Here is a 24,587-nt window from a genome sequence, read left to right as displayed (position 1 = left end):
AGTACACTGGCATTCCATATGCTTTTAAGACACAATATTCTTTCTTCCTTAGGTTTGAAGGGTTAAAAAAAATTCCCCTTAAATCCAAACTAACATCTTTAAACAGATGCAATTTATCAGCTTTCAGTAATGTAACCTACCTAAGACTATGAATTATTGTCTTTCTGCTTGGAAGACATACTGCTATCTGTGCCATATTGAAAATTATATGTTAATCGTTGCCCTTGAATTATTTGTTTGCAGATCTTTCTTTAAAGTTAGACCATGTATTTTACTTAACCCTTTATTATATCACCAGTGCTTATCATAATGAAGTGCATAAAAATGTTTGCCAAATTATAAATACATTTACTTATTCACTGATGTGTTTGCCCAGGTAGACTTTCTTACTTTGAAAACAAAATACTGGACAGCCACCACGATTATTACAATCTGTTTGGCTATGACAGTTCTCAAGAAAAATGAGTACACTGACATTCTGGTTTATTAATCAGCCTCTCATGAGATAAGTTAAAATGCCTAAGTTCTGTGAAACCTGAATTCTCTGGGTAGGCTTACAGTTTTTGAGTCTGAGAAAAAAGAATAACACCTCTCTACCAGCCCCTAGACTGGACTTACGGGGCTCAAAATGAGAGAACAGAACAGTGTATCATTCTTTCTTCCTCTGATCCCTAACAATGCACATATTTTGGCAATTTGCCTTCGGCATTAGAAGGTTGTATCTGTGTGTTATCATGAAGCCACTCCTGTGGCTACTTTCTTGTAAAATGTAATTGTATTCTGGAACAAGCCATGAGCATTGAGATGCTAGGTCCTAAAATATTTTATGCTAATTTCTTCTAATTGAAAAATAGTATTATTAAAGTCAGATCAGATGACAGTTTGACCCTAAGGTAGCCTGACAATTGATTATTCACTTCTTTGTCATTTCATGTCATTCAAAACAGAGTTAAGTATGTACATTGGCTGTATACTGTCCTTGAACTGTAGCACTGCCCAACATATGAAATATAGTATATTACTGTACAATCAAAAACTTATTTTGTGGCTAAAGGAGATGAATTAACAAAACATTATTTTTCTGTAGCTGAGACACAAAAGAGACCTAGGTTTACTGTTTTAGGACTTTAGGGGGAAAGGCATAATATGCCAGAAAGGACTATCACCTGCAGTTACATTCAGAAACACATTGTTTTAATTCATATTCAGGCAAACCTTAACATATCAGAGTAGTGATGATAATAACAACCATTATACTATCAACAATGGCAATACTTATGCCTGGTACAAGTGCTCTGCACTTTCGAAGTGGACAGGGAGCTAGGACGTGCAAAGTGGGACAATGCTATTATCATTACAGCTTTCCTAAGGTTTATTCTTGGAGAAACATGAAACACACATCACAGACCCACCATAACCTACATGCTCTTGGGATTTAGGCCCAAGTATACCCGAGGTGAAACATTTATTCATGAATTCATTTCTAATTTCCATTCTATCTGCATATCTTTGTACTGTCTAGGGTGGGAATGTATAATTTAAATGTGTGCCTGCTGCCTTTTAAAATTCCCATCACTCTGACCATTTAGATTGTTTTCTTTCTTTCCTTTTCCTTTTCCTCTCCTTTCCTTTCCTCTTTCCTTTCTTCTGGTTAAGATGAGGGCTCTTTATATTGCCTAGGCTGGTCTCAAACTCCTGGGCTCAAGTGATCCTCCCAACTTAGCCTCTCAAAGTGCTGCGATTAGAAGCGTGAGCCACCACACCCAGCTTGAGTTGTGTTTCTTGATATGTCCTTTCTCCTCCAGACTATTCTTGGATGTTGGTCTCTCGTTCCTTGAAACTGACCACATGCCACCTCTCACTCAGGTCTGGAACTTGCTCATACATACGAGATACTGATTGTGCCCCTTTCCCCTGCAGTTGAGAGAAGAAAAGGGGTCAGAGGAAGTTGGAAGGTGCTTCTTGAAATTTTATAATCTTCACCATCATCTCCTAAATCTCCCCAAACCCTGAAGCCGAATCAGAAAGAGAAATCAGAATGAAATGAATACACTCAGCAGCAGTTCCACTATTTACATTTGGAAAATATTCCATGGCTGAGCTTATGCATTATGCATTTGGAGCACGGGATAGTAAGAGTACCTTTGTTTTATATGCTGCGTAATAGAGCACTTGGAAAACTATTCTAGGTTTGTCCATCACTCAAGCCAGTGGCCTTCACATCCATGTAATACGTTGCCAACTCACAAGGTGGCATAAGATTTTTCACTAGATCTGTTGCACTGTAGGTAACCTATTATGACCGTGAGTGTAGGCATAAGATTGAAACTAGGTAATGTTTCATATGAACTAATGTGAACTAATTTTTTTTCTTTTTTTTTTTTTTTTTTTTTAAGATGCAGTCTTGCTCTGTCGCCCAGGCTGGAGTGCAGTGGCACGATCTCAGCTTACTGCAAGCTCCACCTCCTGGGTTCATGCCGTTCTCCTGCCTCAGCCTCCCGAGTAGCTGGGGCCACAGGTGCCTGCCAGCATGCCTGGCTAATTTTTTTGTGTTTTTAGTGGAGATGGGGTTTCACCGTGTTAGCCAGGATGGTCTCGATCTCCTGACCTCGTGATCTGCCCGCCTCGGCCTCCCAAAATGCTGGGATTACAGGTGTGAGCCACAGCGCCCGGCCATGTGAACTAATTTTTAAGTCTCCCTGGTCTCCAGACTCCAAAGCTCTTGGTATACTTGCTGCTTTTTATCTCAGCATAATGCACAGACCTATTGCCAGCAAACCTTCTACTTCTGTTAGTTATCAGGTCATTGATTTCAGATGAAGGTTAGGAAGAAAACAAGCTGGGTAACATAGCTTAGGTCACCCTTAATATGTCAATTTACTTACCATGAACAATATAATTTACAGCAACCATGGCAAAAATATTGTTTCTGGTATAAATACTTTCCACTTTTTTTTCAATTTCCAATTTGCTCTGAAAGTCAATTTATTCAATTAACTGTCCCAGAAATAAGTACATTATAAAAAGAACATACTTGAGGCCGGGCATGGTGGCTCATGCCTGTAATCCCAGCACTTTGGGAGGCCGAGGCAGGTGGATCAAGAGGTCAGGAGATCAAGACCATCCTGGCTAACACGGTGAAACCCCATCTCTACTAAAAAATATTTAAAAATTATCCGGGCGTGGTGGCAGGCGCCTGTACTCCCAGCTACTCGGGAGGCTGAGGCAGAAGAATGGCGTAAACTCAGGAGGCGGAGCTTGCAGGGAGCCCAAATGGCGCCACTACACTCCAGCCTGGGCGACAGAGCGAGACCCCGTCTCAAAAACAAACAAACAAACAAAAAGGATAACCCCATGAATTAAAAGCTTGACAAATTCCAGGCAAAAAATAAGTAAAACATGAAAACTTCTGGCAGTGGGAAGGGTTGAGGTGTAGACAGGACAGGTCAGCCTGGCCTGAGAATGTGTCCCCAGGGTCAGCTTCTGAGAGCAGCTCCTGGCACTTCAACTTCTTTTTCTCCTACATATAGGGCCCCAGATTATCGGAAAGGTCCACTTTTCCCCCATATTGAGGAGGGGCTGACAAGGCAGCATGGGGCAAAATGGTAAGAGCAAAGCTGTTTGTTTGTAGTATGCTCAGGTCTGTTGTGCACTGGTTATTTTTCAGTCTTGGGGTCAATTCACGGAATCTGCATTTTTGTTCTGTAGCCCACCACTGCCATGCTAGACCCTTCAGGTCCCCCTGAATGTGTTTCCGCAGCTGTCACGATCCATGAAAAGTCCTTCTGGAGAGAATATTTTTTGAATGATCACATTATAGTCCTAATTGAAGCTGAGTAGTTTATGGTCCTCTGAAGCTGACAGTGAAACATGGCATTCTCTGAGCCTGTGTCCCTTATCAGAGCCACTTAAAGTAACAACATCCTACAAAAGGCCCTCTGGGTCTCTGAAGGTACAGAGCCCTCATTACTCCTACATTAGGGAAAGCTTTAGACCACTTCTGGGAATGCAAATGAATGAAACCCCATGTGACAGCTGTAATAAAAGGCTCCTGTCTTTTTGCAAAGCATTCAAATGCCATCTGGCAATTTCGTTGACGTCAGCAGGCACAGAAAAACAACTGCCCCTACCGCCTTCTTCATGGTTCTCTTCCACCTCCAATTTTGCTCTCCCCTCCCCAGCAGAAAGCTCCAACATTTAGTTATGGAGAAGGAAAGGAGCAAAGTAGCCTTTAAAAAAGATTTTCTCTATTTTTTATCTGCCTCATTTTAAGAAACAGCTTTAGCATCTGAGCTGCAGTGGTATTTGGCCCCAGCTTTCAAATTCCAGTTAGAGGTTGTATAGATCATCACATTAAAAAGCAACTTTAAAGCCTTTTTCTATCTGTATGTCAGGACTTAAAGCACATTTATTGTGAAAGTAGAGGTGTTAAAGAAAACTATTAATCTAACTTCTGATGTAACACATTCTCACTTTGATCACTGTAAATAAACACCTAGTGTTAAAATGCTGGGAACAGGTCTGCTGCTCTAGGCTGAATCCATCGGCTTAAGAACTTACACACCATATATACTTCTTTCAACCATTCACTAGAAGCTTAGATGTACATTTATATATTTTCCGAAGTTGAAATCAGATGATATACCTATTAAGCTATTTTGCTTTAGATATGTTCCATAAAAAATATATTTTTCTGAATTACTGAACAAAAGACAAACAGGTCAACTGAATGTTTGTACTCTCTGTCAAAGAAATAGTAAAATTCTAGAAGAAACACTATGAAACACAAATCTTTTCCAGAAGTCCTAATTAAAAAAAAAAATTCATCCCAATATTTGTACATGGTATAGAAGAGCCTAGTAATTTTATTTATTTACTTATTATTTAATTTTTGAGGTGGAGTCTTGCTCTGTCGCCCAGGCTGGAGTGCAGTGGTGTGATGTCAGCTCACTGCAACCTCTGCCTCCCGCGTTCAAGCGATTCTTCTGCCTCAGCCTCCTGAGTAGCTGGGATTACAGGCACGCAACCACCTCGCCTGGCTAATTTTTGTATTTTTAGTAAAGATGGGGTTTCACCATGTTAGTCAGGCTGGTCTCGAACTCCTGACCTCATGATCCACCCACCTCGACCTCCTAAAGTGTTGGGATTACAGGTTTGAGCCACTGCGCCCAGCAGAGCCTACTAATTTTAAGTTATTTATTGCCTACTGTCACTTTTTTCTTTATAAGGGAAAAGATAAATACAATACCTAGCCTGTTCCTGCAAATGAGCAAATACCATTAACAGCAAAGAGTAAAATGGCCTCATTAAAAGCCAACCAAGTGGACCACTCCTGAAGGTAAAAAAAATACATATCTGAATGAGATTCTATATATTACTGATCCTTGCTACTTAGTCCACTATCAGTGCAAAAGATTTTTGAGAAACAATATTATGTATCAAATTAAAGATTAGGCTAAGTAGTAAGTACTAAGCAATCTTGGAATTGCTTAGTTACATTGCTGTAGACCTAAGCCTTCGTCTTTCCTAAGTTTTGCTTTTTCACTTTTTGTTTAAAAAAAGTTAAACATTCTAATATTAACAATAACCTTTAAAACCATTATTTTCCAATTATAATTCCTCACAAATTTCACATAGCTCTGAGTTCCTCAAGTTAAACAAAGTTTTAGTAGATCGGAGCCATCTTCATACAGAATCTAAGTTTTTTGTGAAAATTCATTCATCCTATAAGTTAGAGAAGTGATTTTAAAGTACATATATGACTATGTCACTTTAAGACTAAATCTTTTTTAAGAGCTCCCTTTTATCTAATAAACTTTTAATCCTACTCCAACTTACATGAGGAATATGACGCAGTCCCACTAGGAGAAATAGCTAAGGTAGTAAAGGGCACGTGAGAGGTTTGGCGGAGGTCAGAAGAAATAATAAGAGTGCTGTATAATTTGAAAGTTTGCTCAGACTAACTTTAAAGGGGAGGGTGTCATATCTAAACCCAGACCCTCTATGACTTAACTCTCCTTTCCCAATCATTTCCATCTCAACTCATGCCATTCTCTCTTCCTAGGAAATCTTTGTGGTTTCTTCTTAACAGATTGTTTCTTGCCTTTTTGCTTTTGGAACATGTTCCCTTTACACAGAAGACACACCCCCTTGTGCACTGGTTTAGTCCCACCCTTGAAGGTTTACTCCAGCTATTACCCTCCTCCAGGAGGCCTTTGCTAACCTGTTTTGCTTTGCAAATGCCCAGTACACTTGTCCTCATTTTAAATTCTACATTTGATTGTGCATATCCATGCTCCCATAAAACCGTGAACTCCATCAAACAGTATCATTCACCTTTGTATCCGCAGTGTCTAGCATAGTATTGAGTGTTCAGTATATGTCTGTGGAAGAAAGGAAAGAAGAAAAGGCAAGGCAAGCACAGTGAAGACACAGAAAGGAAAAGGCATGAACCAAAGTCAAAACTGAAATATCATTACTAAAGAAAGCAAAAGAGTGAAAAATAAAAAATAAAGCACTCAAAAGATAACTTAAGGCTGAAGGAGAACAATGAGAATTTATTGAACATATACTATCTGTCTAGTAGCATGCTAGACATTTTCACAAATTATCTCATTTAATAATGAACAAAAGCTTGATAAGTGAGACTGTTATTACCATTTACATTTGGAGATTCAGACTCACAGAAGTTTTGTTACTTACTAAAGGTCTCTCAGTTGGCAAATGGTGAGGACAGAATGAAACACAGGTCTGTTGACACTCTAGCATTACATGATATTCAATAACTTACGTTGTTTTGGTTAAAGCAGAACATGAGAATGGGAAGAGAAGGCAAGAAAATGAATAACCTATTGTTGAAACTGTGTGAATCTTGAAAATTCCAAGAATAAATGCTTAGGGCAGAGACAAAAACTCAACAAAGTACATTTGGAAAATACCAACTCTGGGCTAAGCCTAAACTATGCTTCAATTACAGGACTTCATCTGGATCTCTAACAACTCCCTGGAACAAAAGGTCATTAGTAGCTGCTGATTTAGAGGCAATGTCTTCTCTGAACTTATAAACTAAGCAAGTTTTCCAAAAACACCTGTCACTTGGCAACTACTGTTTTTTATGAGCTGTGCACGGCTTAGGGATAGAAAATGAGAAATCCTCCGACATAATCAGGCAGAGGAAAATGTCAAATTAGCAACTAGAGAAAGAACAAGATTGAGGTACTATTAGTAGATTTGTACTTTTAAGCTTTTATCAATGAGCAAAAAGTTCTAACGTATTTTCTATAGTGAAACAAAGAAGTGAAAAATGTTCTGAGTGCCTTGCCTAATCATAACTACCTTTAAGTGAAACTTATTTTTCTTTTAATAACAGAGGAATCAAGAGAACAGAGAGTAAAACTGCCCAGAAAACAGGTAGCTTGCTTTAAGGGGAAGGAAAGCAAGGACATAAAAAAAATGAAAATTGCCAGAAAAGGAAGACATTCAGAATATTAACGGCACACTTGAGATGGATACTTTTTACAGAACAGGCCTTATCTTGCCTAAGAACAAGTCTGAGCTTGGGTCAAAATAAAACATCTCAAATTCATAGCCATATTCTTCTGAGTTATTCCTAAGGATTGTAATGTAATAAAGGGACAATAGAAGTTATTCAGCAGTCTTATAGTCAATTTTTTTAAAATAAAATATTTTAATCAAGAATCTGGCGTTCTGCATTAAATTAAAAGTACAGGTTGCCAACCCCCAAGGAAAAATCAATGCGTATAAATCCTGTCCTGGTAAAAAGGAGGTTCTGATATTTGGGGAAAATGCTACTAAACTTTATAAATAGAAACATTCTGGAGGTAGGAGACTTATACAGCATAACATTCATTTAATGTTCTACATCTCTCTGAATCACAGTTTGAGATTCTGAGAGGTGTCATGTACTGCTTGTTGGAATGCCCTGGGCTATTGATCACAATCTGTAATTTTCTGACAAACCTATTATGTATTTTTGAGTTGACAAAGTTTCATCTCACTCATTTGTAACTTTCTAATGAACTAATATTTCAGACTTTAATTTTCTAGGTTACCTCACAAAATGAATTTCTGGACCTGCAAAATCAAGGATTATGTCTTTGACAAGAGACACTTCCTAGGTGTCCCACCCTGCTCAAGAGCACAACCAGTCTTTCTCTGGATTCTCCTTTATTAAAAGCAAAAAGGAATTCACCTTTCACACAGTAGGTGCGTCTAGAACTTGAAGGTTGTGGTCATTAGATGGCTCTCTCTGAACCTGAGCCAAGACCTACCTTCACCAATCAGCATTAGTTCTGCCCTCATCAGTCAAACTCTTTGTACTTCCCAGTTTTCATAGAAATGGAACAGCTTTCCTGTTCTATAATAGAATTAACACATATTTCACATCACTTGTGATTTTTTTCCTACTATTTCTAGGCTATAAAAATCAAAGTAGGTACATTAGTTACTTAAAACAATTTTCATTGATCAATGAAAAAAAGCCAATTAGTAACAGTAAATTAAATAAAAATGAATATTTGTTGAAGGTTTATCTTATACCAGGGCCCAGTCTATGCACTTTATATAGATTATTTCATTAGTCCTCTTATGATCCAGAAAAGTAGGTACTAATATTATGTGTATTTTACAGATTAGCTCATAGAGTTTAAGTAAGTTGCCCAAGGTCTCCCATCTAGTAAGTGATCCCAGGCAGTCTGCAACTCTACAGCCTGTTGTGCTCTTAACCATTAGCTTCTACAAAGTACCATCTCATTACTGAAATCCAGTTTAACGCTATTCTTATCAAAACCCTTATTCCTAATGAAATCACCAGTAGGAATTAAGATAGGGCAAATGAAACAACTACTTGAGGTCAGTATAGAAATCACTGGGAAGATTATATAGTTAAATTTCATGACCTCCTAATTCCAAACTCTTTATTCACTGAAACTACAGACATTGTGAGAGATTTAAAATGATTTAAAAAATAAAGTTTTTAAAATAAAATTGAATTTTTATTAGATTTTGGTGCACCCATCACCAGAGCAGTGTATACTGTACCCAGTGTGTAGTTTTTTATTTATATTCAAAAACTTACTCTATGAATGAGGCAAAGTAGAGGGGAGTATTTCAGAATCTGAGTTCTGAGGGAAAACAAACCAGCTAACCAGGTTTCTGGGCAGGGGCTTGACTGAACTGAGTAGAATTTGAGTAGAAAGCCAGACATCAGACAATTGGGGGAAGGGAAAAAGTGAAGGATAAGGGAATCAGTCTGTAATTTTTAAATTGTTCCTTGGAATTCAAGAGTTCATTTGAGGGGTAGTTTTTCAAGAACAGCTAAGTTTCAGTTATTTCTAAAATTAACTATTTTTCCCTCTGCATATTAAGATTGTGGGAGAATGCTATTTCTATATGTATTTCCCTTTATTCTTTCACCTCTATACTCCATCATAAATTGACTCCACCAGTGCACTTGTTTTTGAGTGCAATCAAGAATCACATTAAAAATAAATGTTTCCATTTACAAATAGACAAAACCAAACACAAACATGAAAAAAGTCTATGGTCTCAAAACATATTCCTATAAATATCAATATCTGTAGTTGCAATAAATATGGTTTCAGAGTCTAGCTTGCAACATGGATCAATGATGACAAACCATTCTAAATTTAATTATCTACTATATAAGCGTATATATATTTATCACTATAATTTTATTACAATATTCTGTAATATTTTAAAATATAATTATTAATCATGCAGCATGTGTTATTTCCATCAAAATAATTTTGTATCCTCCCAGCATCTTGGAAGGCTGAGGCGGGCAGGCCACTTGAGGTCAGGAGTTCGAGGCCAGCCTGACCAAGATGGTGAAACTCCATCTCTACAAAAAAATACAAAAAACATAGTCAGGCATGGTGGTGCATGCCTGTATTCCCAGCTACTTGGGTCTGAGGTGGGAGAATACTTGAACCCTGGAGGCAGAGGTTGCAGTGAGCCAAGATCATGCCACTGCACTCTAGCCAGGGTGACAGAGTGAGACCCAGTCTCAATAATAACAACGATAATAATAATTTCATATTCATTTTTAAAGTGATTAACCACAAAAGGATATTTCCTTAGTTCTTAATTTGGAGACAAATGTCTTTTTATTAAAAGTTCTTTTTAGAGGAATCTGAATCAGAAAACAAAAACTTGCTAAGAGTTTGGAAAATTAAAAAAAAATCCCAACCTAAATAACACAATACATATTTTAGAACGTAGAATTAAATCTTTGAAAGGAGCTTCTTTTCATTATACTGGTAGTCAATGAAGCTATGCCCAATTTTATAATTCTGGTGTTCCACAGTTTCTCTATAGATTTTACATTTAGAAATCTATGTACCACTTTGGGAGGCCGAGGCGGGCGGATCACGAGGTCAGGAGATCGAGACCATCCCGGCTAAAACGGTGAAACCCCGTCTCTACTAAAAATACAAAAAATTAGCCGGGCGTAGTGGCGGGCGCCTGTAGTCCCAGCTACTTGGGAGGCTGAGGCAGGAGAATGGCGTGAACCCGGGAGGCGGAGCTTGCAGTGAGCCGAGATCGTGCCACTGTACTCCAGCCTGGGCGACAGAGCGAGACTCCGTCTCAAAAAAAAAAAAAAGAAAAGAAAAGAAATCTATGTACATGTACATACTACATGCTCAATTTCAAACAAAGAAAAAGTCGTAACGTCTATAATGTTGAAAATACATCTATGGATGTATTCAACTGGTTTACAACAAATTGTAACATGAGAAAAAAAGTAAATGGTGAGGTGGTAGTAGACATTTGGTTCTAAGCTGTGAAGCATGTTCTCTGTCTTAGTTCCTTACAACTTTCTCATACCACTACCTGTATCAATATTACTTAGTCATGTGCTGCTTGATGACCCTTTAGCAAAACAAAACAAAACCAAAACCAAAATCTATTATTTTGCCACAAAGTCATGAAAGTCTGAGAATTTGGGGCAATAAGCCTTCTGTTTGGCATTAAGTTTTTACCCGCTATTCTAATTTAATGCATTCGTCATATTAAACTATATAAACCATTTCTGGTTTGCCTTTATTCTGTTAATGATTAAGTCCAATGTTCTGAGTGCTTTTCATAATTTTAAAAGAAAATTTAGAAAGAACTGTCTTCTGCTATTTTTTTCCTCAAACCCAAATTAGTTCATTGTAAGAAAGGTTGTTTGAAAATCTCAGTAATTAAACAAACCTAGAGCCTATAATTTTCTTGATAGTGAAACCCTCTATTTGCTTCTGAAAGCAGGCGGAGGACATGTCATTCTTCCATTTACTATTCATATTTCACCACTATCTTTTATGTGCTACAGTAGTTTTGAAAATGCCAGATTCAAGAGGTTAATTTATACCATTAGCTGTCACTTCTAGGAAACGCTTGCATATTTGCGTGTTTGTTAGGACAGCAACATGCGAGTGTGCAGAGGGGGTAAAGGAGCATTACTTTAATACTAGGCTGTACATTTATTCCTCTGACTTAGCACACATTATTGCTCTTGATGTCACAAAAAATAAATAGCAAAATATAATTTGTAGCAATTTTCCTAGCCCCATGATCAATAGAAAGAGAAACAGAAAAGAATCAGAAAGCCTTTGCTTGTCAAAATGCACACTAGTTCATTGATTGCTATGATCACAGTCCTAATTTGACTAAATGCTTTTGGACCTGAGAATATTTTTAATATTACCAGTGTGGTTATGACTTTTGAATTTTGAAATAGCCTTTTCTTCTCTTCCACCCCAAACAACTTTTATTTATCCTTTAAAGCCACCAGTTTATATGAAATTATCCCTGAAGGCTTCAGTCTATACAGATTTTTCTCCTCTTCAACTTCCATCTACTGTAGTCAACAGTAGACCATTAAAATGTCTTCCTAATTTTTGTGTGCCTTATTATTTTTTAATACAAGTTGTAAGTTTTGAGGTAAGGAGCCATGTCTTTTGAACCCTGCAGGAATTACCCAGCAAATCTTTCTTCCCTCCTCACAATTCTCTACCCCCAAGTCATGAAATTATTTAAACTGGCACAGAATCCCCTAAGAGGTGGCTTGTTACATGATTAATCTATCATGGGCAAGGTGGATTTAATTTAATTAAAGAAATACTTCTCTGATGCTAACTATACAATTTTAATTGATTATAGTTTATGTTTATGTTTGTTTTTATATTTACCAAATTTTGATCTAACGTGCATGGTCTCATTTGTACATCCCAAATACTAGGTTTTTTTCCTAAAGTTTTTGTAATTTTCTTTGTGAATTAATCAAATCTTGACCAGCCTTTCAGTTGGTACTTTTCTTTCTGTGAGAGTTCATTCCCACTCCAATTTCTATAATACATGGCTCTTCAATTGTTTTCTCTGCAGTCTCTGAGATTTTTCTCAATCCCTTTGATTGAGCCTAAGAACCTTTGATTTTTACCAAAGCATTACCTAATGCGCAACTCTGAATCATTGTACATACTGCTGATTGCAGAGTAGAAAGTTATTCAGAACTGGTACCCAGAGTGGGCTGTTGCTGTGAAGTATCCCAACTACATGAGGCAATAGGGGAGGGGCCTGAGAGCTGGTGCTGAGGAACCTGGCATTAGTGGCTGGAAAGAGGTGGTCTATGGAACACAGAGAAGGAGCATATGGTAACACTGCTGTCTGCAATATTTCGAAGGTAGATGAAGGACCTAATGGACTTGTAGCTCTACCAGAGAGAATGGACAACAGGATGTAAGTATCATTTATTGGTTACTGTGATCTGTATTTGACAAGGTATAAGAGACAAATGAGCTCAGAAAAGACTAGATTTGTTTGCAAGGATAAAAAAAAAAGGGAACAGAAAGGTCCAAGAACACGGAAAAGGCAACTGCTTTCCCTTCTTAAATAGGAGAAGAACTGGGAAGGGCACTGAGCTAAAAATGCATATTTCAACTCAGCCTCAGTAAGGGTTAATCAAGATGTGGACACCACACCCGTTATAAATCCTATGAATGGATTAAAGTGTTTAAGAGCAAAATCAAATTAAGGTTATAGGACTCAATATATCTTTTCAGTTGGATAGAATAACTCAAGGAAAAGAGACTAAAAATTCTTTTCTCATGGAAAATCTTCTAGGGTTTCCCAACAAAGCCTGACAGTCTGAAATTATCATCACCTAAATTGGGAGTGAGAAGCACAACACCTAAAGGACACAGAAATACAGCAAATCTTAAAAGTACATCCGAGAAAAAAAATAAAACTGATGGTGTAGTTATTAGCATACAAAACTGTACTGAATTAATTTTAAAAGGAGCTATGGTTTTGAGAGTATTATACTATGAAAAGAACACTATTCAGTACCTAACACAACTCTTAAACTCCTAAAGACTTACATATAGGAAGTGATCAAATGAAACTGCAAAGCCCCCAGGACGGCATCCTTTCCAATGCTCACTTTATAGGTGATCATAGAAGATAATCAGATCAGGGAGACCAGGGAGAGTGGGACCAGGGGATCAGAGAACGATAGACAGAGGCTTTCTCCCAGGAAGCAGAACCAGATCTAATAATAATAATTTAAAAATGTATCTAGCCCTAGGATAAGGGACTTTCAAATAGCCTCCCAGTAAGATTTTGGAATTGCTTCAGGTTAGTGATGGTGTGTGGGTTCTTTTCTTCTCTTTCAAATGATAGTGCTTATTGTGATGATCCTATTTTCCACCTGCGCATTAGTGAGTACTACGTGTGTGTGTGTGTGTGTGTGTGTGTGTGTGTGTATTAGTTGTATTACTCCAGAACGTGACACTTAACTGCCAAAGCCATACCCAATAGAATTCTCCTTCCTTCTGCCACGGTGATTAATAATGTCTTAGGCGGTGGCTGCCCCACCATCTCTGTCTCAGAGTGAGGACGATACAGAACAGAGCCCTAGCCAAAGTATGGAGCAACAAATCAACCTCCCTGTTTTGAGAACTGGGGTCTGTTTAATACTGCAGTACCACCTTGTCTATCCTGACACGGTCCTTGAATTGAAAATAAAGATCATAAAGAATATAGCTTATTTATGAAGCCTTCTCTGGGGAGCATATTAGACTAACTCCTGCCTTGTACTCTTTTGGAATAGTGTGAAACTCCTAGAGACAAAGTGAAACCTAATGCATAAGTGATCTTTAAGAATTTCTTCCGACTTCATTGACCCTAACCTATCCAGTTTCTCCCTGGAACATGTAACGAAATGAGTGGAATTCTCACAGGACTGCCCCTCTCCCACTCTGGTAAATTTTTCAAACCTACGTTTGTTACTAGCTTGTTTCCGAATTCACACCTCTACTTCCTTCCCATCTTTTGAAAACTACTACTTCAATTGTCTTTATATTTTCAACAGCTTTCTCTTAATTATACAAGAAAACAAATGCTTCTCCCCTGGCCCGTCCCGTGTTTGGTAAATAAAATGACTGCACATTTCCTGTATGTGTTAAATTCCATTTCTGTGCCACAGAACACAACCACAAAATAAAAGAAGAAGAGATAGTAGAGGTAATCCAAGCTAGATTCATTCTTTTTTAAAATTAGCAAAACTGGAACATAAAGATGTTATTTGACTAGTTCAACATAATGAACATAAAGAGATTATTTGACTGGTCCAAGATTACCCAGCTCATTTGGGGCTAAGCCAGCTGGAATCTGAGTTCAGGTCTCCTGGTTTCCAGCCTTGTTCAAATTATACAAAAACACACATTAAACTGAATATGCGGTTCAGTTTAATGTGTGTTGATATTATTGACAGTTCAATAACACTGTGAGGAGAGGGGCATTAAATGTAGCAAACCTTCTTTACTTAAAATCCTTTGATTGTTCTTTATTATCTACCGGGTGAATTCCCAGGTCCTTAGCAGGGCAAACAAGGTATGTATCAGTGATTCCTACCTAACCCACCATTTCATCATATTTCAACACTCTTGACCCACATGGATTGCGTGCTCTAGAATGCTGTTCTTGGCCATGCTCACCTAGTCACTGGGTGCCCAAAGCACCACTGTTTCACACCTATTCATGTAACTTGGCTCTAGCCAGCTCTTTAAAATTAGAAAACTCTTCTGTAATTCCTTGTTTGGGGGTGGGGGTGGTTCATGTATAATCTGAGTAGTCTTTATTCCAGTTTCTACTTGTTACCATGGGAAGATTTAATATTTTCCCCCTCTAAAGTACTTCTAATACAGTGGTATTGCATTTGCTGCACCTGTGATGTATTGGAGGGTGCTAACTCCTCAATCTCTTCATTGTATTTGGGGGACCTCACCTGGTTTAGTTTAAAAAAAAAAAACTTCATGTTTCCAACTTATCCTTTTATTTCTTTGTAAAATTCCATGTTACTCTCTAGGTTGCTGAATCTTGTATTCTGTCAACTGGACACATTCCATTTAAAAAACGAGAAGCCAATCTGAGCCCATAATAGCACATGGCTAAGGGAAGATAAATAACATTCTCATTATCAATATCTTTTCTGTAACTGACAAGAAGATTGTTCTACTTGACAAATTATATTTCCGTGAATATCCGTAAATTGAGCACACTTAAAATGAAAACTGTCTAACTTCATTTCCACCAGTGAATGCTTAATGCTGAAAGTCAGTTTCTCTTTTCTGTTTATTGCTAGTAGTGGATATAGTCCTTTCACATCATGTAAGACCAAGGCAATTCTTATTTCATTTTCCAGATATCTTAATGCTTCTGCCAAACTACTCATCCCTCTGTTTTTAATTAGTTGTATATAGTACTGTCTTTATTTCAGGATGTTCACATCTCTATTTTAGTCAATTTTGCTATTTCCTGCCAATCTAACATTCAATAGATAATATAAAAATTGTAACATATGAAATAGTACTCATACTTCAATTAATACTTGAGACTAATCTTGTTTGCAAATTCCTTGCTTTGGAAAGGTAAGATAATATTTCACTCCAAAACCATATTTAGAAAACTTAAAGACTGGTAATGCTAAAATTTAAGCAATTCTCTCAATAGTATTCATTTTATAGATTAGTATAATAAAAATGCAAATTAATAATTCTACATTTAAAAATAACTAAAAGAGTATAATTGGATTATTTTTAACTCAAAGGATAAATGCTTGAGGGGATGGATACCTCATTTTCCATAATGTGCCTGTTACGAATTGCATACCTATATCAAAATATTTCATGTACCCTATAAACATATACACTTACTATGCGCCCACAAAAATTAATCAATTTTTTAAAAAGTTCAAATTAAGATATAGCAATAGGTTTTAGGTGTAAGTTCTTTGTGTACATATACAAATATTGACCAAATTTCTTAGTTGTTTTGCATTGGGTTTTGTGCTACATTTTTTTAAAAAAGACCCTTATTTCAATCAGGTGCATAAGAAACTAAAAATTATCAGATTAGAATCTGTAACTTGAGCTCATTTATCAGATTAAATCAAGAACTTTGAGCTTAAAAAAAAATAGGAGGATGAAAGAACAGCTTCTCAGTGAAAATTTATAAACAGCTAAAATTAACAGGACCTTGTGACCTAACTCAGAATGAAGTAGAACTCTTTTTCACTTGGATGAAAGTCTGTAGATGATCCCAAACAATCTTAGAGAGTAATATGTGTTACCTATTAAATTATGTGTTAATAGGTTAGATTCCCAAATGTTCCCTGTATTGTAACCAGTAGACAGCTGATGACTTTTGAAGTTACCTAATCAGCTAATACACAAATTGTACATCAAAACCAAGTTGCAAGGCAAATTTATCTTAGAGTTAAAATTTATTTTTCTGTAATTGTTTATTTAATCAGAGCTTTATTTTTCCCTCCTAATTTTAGTCAGAACTTTTTCTTACAGCTTAATCTTAATTAATTTTATAGCTTAATTCCAAATACTATATTAGCCATAATGAAAGAGTTAAATAAGATAAATTAGGTAAGCTGAAATTTACTTAAGTAACATTTTGTTTGATGCTAACTAATAAGAATGTCGATTAAAAAGTAAATCCAATTTTAGTAAGAACAACTTTGTCTTAATTTCTTTCATAAAAATAAGATACAGGACATCAAAATTACTATTCCCACTGAAAATTCCTAAGGAATACTTTGTGGATAATATTATATTCCTCCTCATAAATTACTTGAAAAACAGGCATTCCAACTTAAGACAAATAATTTGTCTTACTCATGTAGTCAAAGTTAACTCAATAAATAGTATGTCCAATGGCATTTATAGAAACTTGGAAGGAAGATATTTCCATTTGGGGGCTTGGTTTCGATGCCATCTCTAAAGTATGAACAAAAAATCTGTGTAATGGTGGGATCCTCCTAACAATCATTTTGGTAGAATAGATTATGAGGCAGTATAATCTCCCTTTACTGTAGGATGATATTGAGATATCTTGCCGTTTGTGGGAGAAAAAGATTAGAAGATGCTACATATTGCTATATTAGGGACAGTGAGACAAATGTGACCTTGTAAGTTGATCCTCTATGGTCCAAGGGCATCATGTAAGTCATTTTCTGAAGGATCAGAGAAAAGAAGGCCTGGGCTCATCATGCTGAGCATACTTGTATAGCATGATATACAGGTGGAGCTGGTGGTGGTGGGAGCAAGATGATGATGTTGATGGTGATGGTGATGATAATGATAATGATGAAAGCTATCATCTAAATAAGAGTGTTTATTCCACATACTTTTTAATTTAATGTCTTCCAACGTATTGTATCCACAGAACAAACTTTCAAAGTAGATACTGACTCACTTTCTAGATGAAAAAGCATTACTTCCAAAGGTTAAATATCTCATTAAGGTCACGTATACATTCAGTGGTGGACTTGGAATTTTTATTATTTCAAAGATCATTCTCTTCACCACTGTACCAGGCTGTCTTTGATTTCAGTTAATGTGAAGTCCTGCAGGACTATACTTTAAAATGTGTAATTTCATGAAATTCCAGAAAAACTTAATTATAACCTTTTGCTTTCACAGATGTGCAGCTTTAAGAAGACCAGGTATAGTTAATTTTACCCCCATGGACCTCGTGCTGGTTAAATGAGAGGTTATATCACTTTTAGAAGTCTTCCAAAGTTCATATTCAGAGGTAATTTCTACTCCAAATAAACTAACTTACTTAACAGTCCCGCTGCAAATGTGGTGAAGTAGAAAGCTTAAAGAGCTATATAGGTTTGGCATGGAATTTCTTCATGTACTGGACATAATAAATCTAATTTACATAAGGCAGGCTTAGAAGCAGAAAATGCAGGGCTATATTTCCGTGGGCTGAAATCTCCATTTTTTCTTTTTGTCAGAAAAGCAATTCTGAAATGTTTTTGTTTTCCTGCACATTTACAAGACTGTTTGGAAAACCCACTACTCGAAGATTGACCTTGTAGTTATTTAAATTTCTGAGACTCAATTTATAATCTCTATCACAATATAGGGATTATGTTTCTAATTAAAATTCAGGTTTAGCAAATAATTAAATAAAAATGAATTTATTTTAAATGATCATAATTAGCATCAGTATAAAAAAACTGAATTTTGACCTTATATGGTAAAGTGTTTGGATATCTTCATGATAAATCACATCTTAAATATATGTTGGGGAAGGGAATATAGCACAGAAGAGACGAAAGTGGCTTTTTCAAATTAGAACAGTCTTACCTCTTGCGTTTGTCCTGCATTTGAAAACAGTCTTGCATCTTAGTCTTGCATTTGAACACAGTCTTACCTCTTTCTAGCTCAGTGACTTCAGCAAGTCATAACAACTATTCAAGTCTGTCTCTTCATAGGTAAAGGTATAATAATAATATCTAGAATTCTAGAATACGAGCTTCATGAGAACCAAAAGTTCATCTGTCCTGTTTCCCATGGAACTGCTTCACCACCAGCACTGTGCCTACACACAGGAGATGCCCCAAAACCTTAACTGAGTAAATAAATTATCTATTCTCAGAAATTATTTTGTAGATTAAAATAAATTCTGTGAAAAAAGTACTTAGCACAATATATGGCAAAAATACATATTCAATTAATGTTGCTTTCTTTTTCCTTTAATTAATTCAAGGTATATTTTAAGTATTTTATTTTAAATCTTTTATGTTTTGTTACAGGAAGCAATGAAAAATTACTTATAAAATACGAAAAACTTACCATCAAAGTCAGTTTTTAAAAAGACACAAGTATCACCAGTTAAGCACTTCACTCTCAAATGAACCAACTCCCAAGTTTGGAAATTTCAGTGTGTTTAGAAATGTAGACTAGTCATTTGACTGGTAGTTACTGATGAATACCAATCAGTACAGTATGGGGGGAAGATATTATATATTGGCATTTCTGATTTGGTATTTCATACATTTACAAAAATAACTTATTCTAAGTAAAACATAAAATACATGCACGAACTTCAGAATTGGAAGGACCGTGGCAGTGAATAATCTTGTCCAAAGCACTAAAATCACTTGTATAATTTGCATATTTTATATTTAAATGACTTGTCTGCTCAACGAGTTATTCTTTGAACAGATGTTTAGTATTCCCTTCTACTGTGACGGGGTATTATATATTTCATTTTCCTTCATAAATTTTAGCATGAAACCTCAAAAATTCTAAATATGCTACTAATCCACGAGGAAAATAGGAAAAAATGCAGAAGGATGGACATTGTCAATCTTTAGATAAATGTAGATTTGGTGCTAGATAAGGATTATAAAGTTTCATGATACTTTAGTATTTTACTGAGATGGAAAGATCTGGTTTTCATTTGGGAGTTTAGTGAACAGTTCTAAGTTAATAAAATATTCTGTTTAACATTCTAAGATAGTTTTGTAACATCTTAAAAAATCATTCTAGAACTTTTACTGGGAAGTTTTTTGGTCCCAGGTCATATTTTTATAACTCATTAAAAATTAACTAAAAATACATTTAATAAATACACTGAGCCAGTTTATCATAAACTTGATTTGGATTACTTTATGAATTTATTTTTAAAAGGCTTTCAACTGTCCTTCTCTAATATAATTTCTGTTGAAAATCATTATAGAACAAAAAGGTTATTCATACCTTTTCCCAGTAGAAGCTCCACGATTTGGAAAATATCGTCACCATGTATAATCAGTAATGAGATGTTCTTTAAAGTTCAGATTCTGTTAGACTGATTCTCATTTTTTTAAAAACATGCTTTCATGAATACTGATTGCAACTCCAGCTATCCTCCAATTAAAAGCAAGGCCACACCATAGTCAAATAGTGAAGTAGGTTAAATGAAAGTTCTGTGTGCTCAAATTTCCCATTTTATGCCCCACTCTCATTCATTGATTCAACATTTCCTGAACAACTTATGGGTGGCAATCACTATTGGAGAGTCAAATGAAGTACTACTTGGATACTAGAAGCTTTAGTCTAGTGGGAAATTTTGCATAGTGTTCTAAGTTCTATGATAAATGCATTATGGATGTAAAATGTGTTACGAAAACAGTGCTTAGAGCTGGGACTCAAATAATGTTTCAGTTGTATTTAAGATTTATTAAAAGTTGAAACAATGTACTTGTAAAGGCCCAGAGGAGTGAAATAACATGATGCCACCCAGAGTACAGGATATTTGATCTACTTTAGACAGAGAGGTAAGATACTGGTAGAAAAGCTAGGAGTCAGAAAAAAACAGGCCTTGTTTTGTTTTCCTGAGAGTTAATCAGAATGTAGGATTCAAGTTTAGGCTTTGGAAGTAATTCTAAGTACAGAAGTAGATGTAAAGGGCTTAAAAGGATCATGTATGCAGTTGTGAGTGTTGTGCGCTGCACAACTCCAGGGGGGTCAGCATTCATGTACACTATAATGTAAATGGCTCTCCTTAGAGTTTACAATATTATTGCTGTGGTGCCAGAGGCTGTGAGAAGAGAGACCTGTATCAATCCTCAATGCTGTTTCCCTGTCTTTCAACACAGTACTCAGTACCCACATTTATTTTCCCTCATTTCCTCATCAAACATTATTCTCATTATCTTTCATCCATACTAATGAATATATGACTGAGATCAGTTTACAATATAAGCTCCCACAATTCATGGATGAACAAACATGAAGTAGTAAAGAAATTTAGCTCTAACTCTAGAATTTTAGGCAGAAGCAATACAAAGATTACTTTAAGTACCGAAATCCAATCATCATCCATACTGACACATTTAAGCTGATGCTATCATAACATGAACACTTGTCACATCACCTGGGAAACTTCTTAAAAGGAAGACTTTTCTAGTTTCATCTAAAACACTGTCCATCAGAACGTCTAATAAGTTCACTAGCTGATACTGAATGGATACTGCTAGTCCATAGGAATGACTGCTTTAAAAACAGCTCCTCAAGGGGAGCTGACAATTCTAGTCTGTACAGAAGACAGCCTAGATCTGAGCTTAAGACTCATGGTTTGCCTAGATTTGGAAATTTCCATTAAATGAAGAGCATAGTTACAGGACTCTTCTCTGAGGTACACTGAGACACACAATAATTTAGGAGATTAAGATTTTCATATCTTGGTCTGTTCATGACTGCTCAGAAACAAAAAAATGAATGCTTACGAAGTTGGCTCATCTACTCTAACAGACACTTCTCTATGCACAATCATTTAACCTATTTCATATTTAGGAAAACCACTGCCTTATTTTATTTTTAAATCAATTTGAATGGCTAGAAATGTATTCCTTATATTTAAGCAAAATCTGACTGCTCTGTGTTCTATTCACTTGTCCAAATATCACCTTACAGAATGACAAAGAGAAAAATTTCACTCCCTTTACACCTTTTTTTTTTTTTTTTTTTTTTTTTTTTTTTGAGACAGCGTCGCATTCTGTTGCCCAGGCTGGAGTGCAGTGGCATGATCTTGGTTCATTGCAACCTCCACCTCCTGGGTTCAAGAGATTCTCCTGCCTCAGCCTTCCGAGTAGCTGGGATTACAGGTATGCACCATCACATTCAGTTAATTTTTTGTATTTTTAGTAGAGATGGCATTTCACCATATTGGCCAAGCTGGTCTCAAATCACTGGCCTCAAGTGATCCACCCACCTGGCCTCCCAAAGCACTGGGATTACAGGCGTGAGCCACCGTGTTGATAACTTAAGAGAGCACAATTTTTCTCCCTCTCTTGCTTTTCATCATAAGTTCTCTTTCATAAGCTAAACTTCCACCTCATCTGGGACACTGTTTCTAGACATATTTATTGTTTATGTGAGTGCATCAGCTTTTCAATATCCTTCTTGAAATTATGTACTCAGAACTGAATTCAACACTGCAGAGGTCATCTGGCCAGTGCAGAATTTATTGAATTAATTATTCTGTTCTGTATGCCATAAATACGTTAGTGAAGCCCAAAGTGGCACTTGCTGTTAGAAAAGCCATATGATATTGGGCTTGACGTCAATCCAGATTCTTAAATCTTACTTTTTGTTTCTTCATTTGCTTATGAACAAATACGCAGGTACTTTGCACACTGAAGTTTTATTAAAAACTTAAGTGCAAAATTTTATTTTCTCCTCTTGAATCTTCTTAGTTTAGTATTTTAACTGAAGGTTAATGAGAAAGCTTTCTAAATCTGTATTCTATCATTCATACATTAGCTACATATTCTTCTTTTTGATGTCAAAATGTAAATGTGCATTATGAGGGGCATATTAATTAATGATAAAAATATTAAATAGGGTAATGCCTTAATGGGTTTTACAATTCTTCTCTTATCCTGTGATTTTGTTCTGCAAAAACTATTCTGCTGCGAACAGGACACTCCTTACAAGGTTATGAAAGAAGAGAGAGACATACTATTGTAACCCTAATTCCCTCATAAATAAATAAACTTTTAAAATAAAAATATATAGAACATCTTTATCTTTTAAGCACATGATTTATATACAATGTACAGAAAGTATTTGTAGAAGACAGTGAAGCAATACATAATATCAGTTTTCCAATTTCATAGTTTCTCTAAATGAAGCTGATATTAAGAAGTTAATCTGGTGACCATCATAGGGATGATTTTTTAAAACATGATTTCAAAAAGACTTTAAATGTGGTTACCAAAGTTAGCATATTTGGAAAAGAATAATGTTAATAAAATATCTTACTTTTTTTATATCTCCATAAAGATAATGATTTTATTTTTAATATAAGGCATGCTTATGACAACACTCATTCATTTAGAATAACCCATTTATACACACATATTTATTAATGTGGTGGCCATATGCCAGCTTTTTCCAGGTGGTATTAAAATAGTTATTACTTGTATCCACATTTATCAATGTACTCAGCCTTTAAAAATTAAAATCAACCAATTTTGCTTGTCTCTTTGAAAATTAATCCTTTCCATTTCCTCTAATTCTTTTCCATGCTCTCTAAACTACTTCTTTATCCATATTCTCTAAATTCCCAAAAGGTCAAACATAGTAAAATAAATTTAATGAAGTATATATCTATTAATGGGAATAATGTATACATTATGAAAAAGTTTAATGAGATTATTTCTAAGCAGTCGTATAGCTATCAACAAAAATACTGCATCAAATACAGAAAATTTTAATATTCATTAAATCTACCTAGCTTTTGTACATTATTCACTATACTGTGCTGCATGTTTGAAATGTTGTGTCACATGAAAAGAGAGACGGGTTCAACAATTTGATATCTAGTATAACAAATGACAGCCTCTCCTATGCTTCTAGCTATGCATATAATATGTATAACACTGTTCATTCCCAAAAATATTACTTCCAATGCTGTATCCACTGATTAAAAGTTCCACAACCACCAGTGCATAAAATGACGAACATAGAATGTCTTTTAAATATTTAGAAGCCATAGACGTTATTTATATCCCTATTTTTCCTAATTAATATTGGCAGAAATTCACTCCAGATAAAAATAGTTGATGTTTTAAATTAGTTAATAATGTCCATAAAGCACTTACTTATAAAGGAACTTAACGCTAAATGTTATGACTTTTATTAAAAGTAAATATTAATGCTTTTATTTTATGCTAATAGAATTTGTCAAGAAGAAATAACATCTACATAAGCATCTCTTATTCATGAATAAGTACAGAAACTAGATGAATTCTAATGCAATATCTCTATAAAGTTATGATGTTGGTGATGTACTTAAACCTATAATGCTATTTAAAGAAGATATTACCAGTATATCATTTCAAACTTGCACTGAATTACTAGCAATACTCATTGTAATAAGAAAAACGAACAAATACTTTTTAAGGAAATATCAGTTTGGTATGATTATTTATCATGTGAAGTTAAAATAATGCTTTTTTCCTCTCTTGTCTTTTTCCATAAACAAAAGCCACAGTGCCAAGACCAAAACATAAAAAACAGTAAAATTATATATTTTTCTTCTTTTTGAACAGAAATAGTAATGCCAAGTTCAGTTTGTTCCATTGATTTTAAGCCAAATAAATGGCAAAACATAGTGAAAAGCCTGGTCATATCATGTGTCATAAGCTTCTATTAAAGTCCTTATGTAAATTTCAGATCCCTAAGCTGCATGAGACAGAATCACTCCTG

The 24,587-nt window shown here is 35.6% G+C and overlaps 1 protein-coding gene across 5 annotated transcripts in view; it reads right to left on the bottom strand.

Moving 5' to 3' along the window:
- The window catches only part of PDE3A (phosphodiesterase 3A), a 320,047-nt gene that overhangs the window by 96,322 nt on the left and 199,138 nt on the right, over positions 1 to 24,587 (bottom strand). For 2 of the 5 annotated variants that reach the window (NM_001244683.2, NM_001378409.1), the window contains exon 1: positions 20,091 to 20,183. The exons of the other annotated variants lie outside the window; for them this stretch is intronic. In NM_001244683.2, coding sequence (NP_001231612.1) covers positions 20,091 to 20,135 — 45 coding nt within the window. In that variant the 5' untranslated portion in view covers positions 20,136 to 20,183. Of the gene's footprint in view, positions 1 to 20,090; positions 20,184 to 24,587 lie in introns of those variants that run through there. 5 annotated transcript variants of the gene reach the window in all.

Source organism: Homo sapiens, chromosome 12 (genome assembly GCF_000001405.40).
Source record: "Homo sapiens chromosome 12, GRCh38.p14 Primary Assembly".
NCBI lineage: Eukaryota > Metazoa > Chordata > Mammalia > Primates > Hominidae > Homo > Homo sapiens.
The sequence above is the reverse complement of the archived record's forward strand: the minus strand, read 5'-3'. Positions and strand labels throughout refer to the sequence as shown.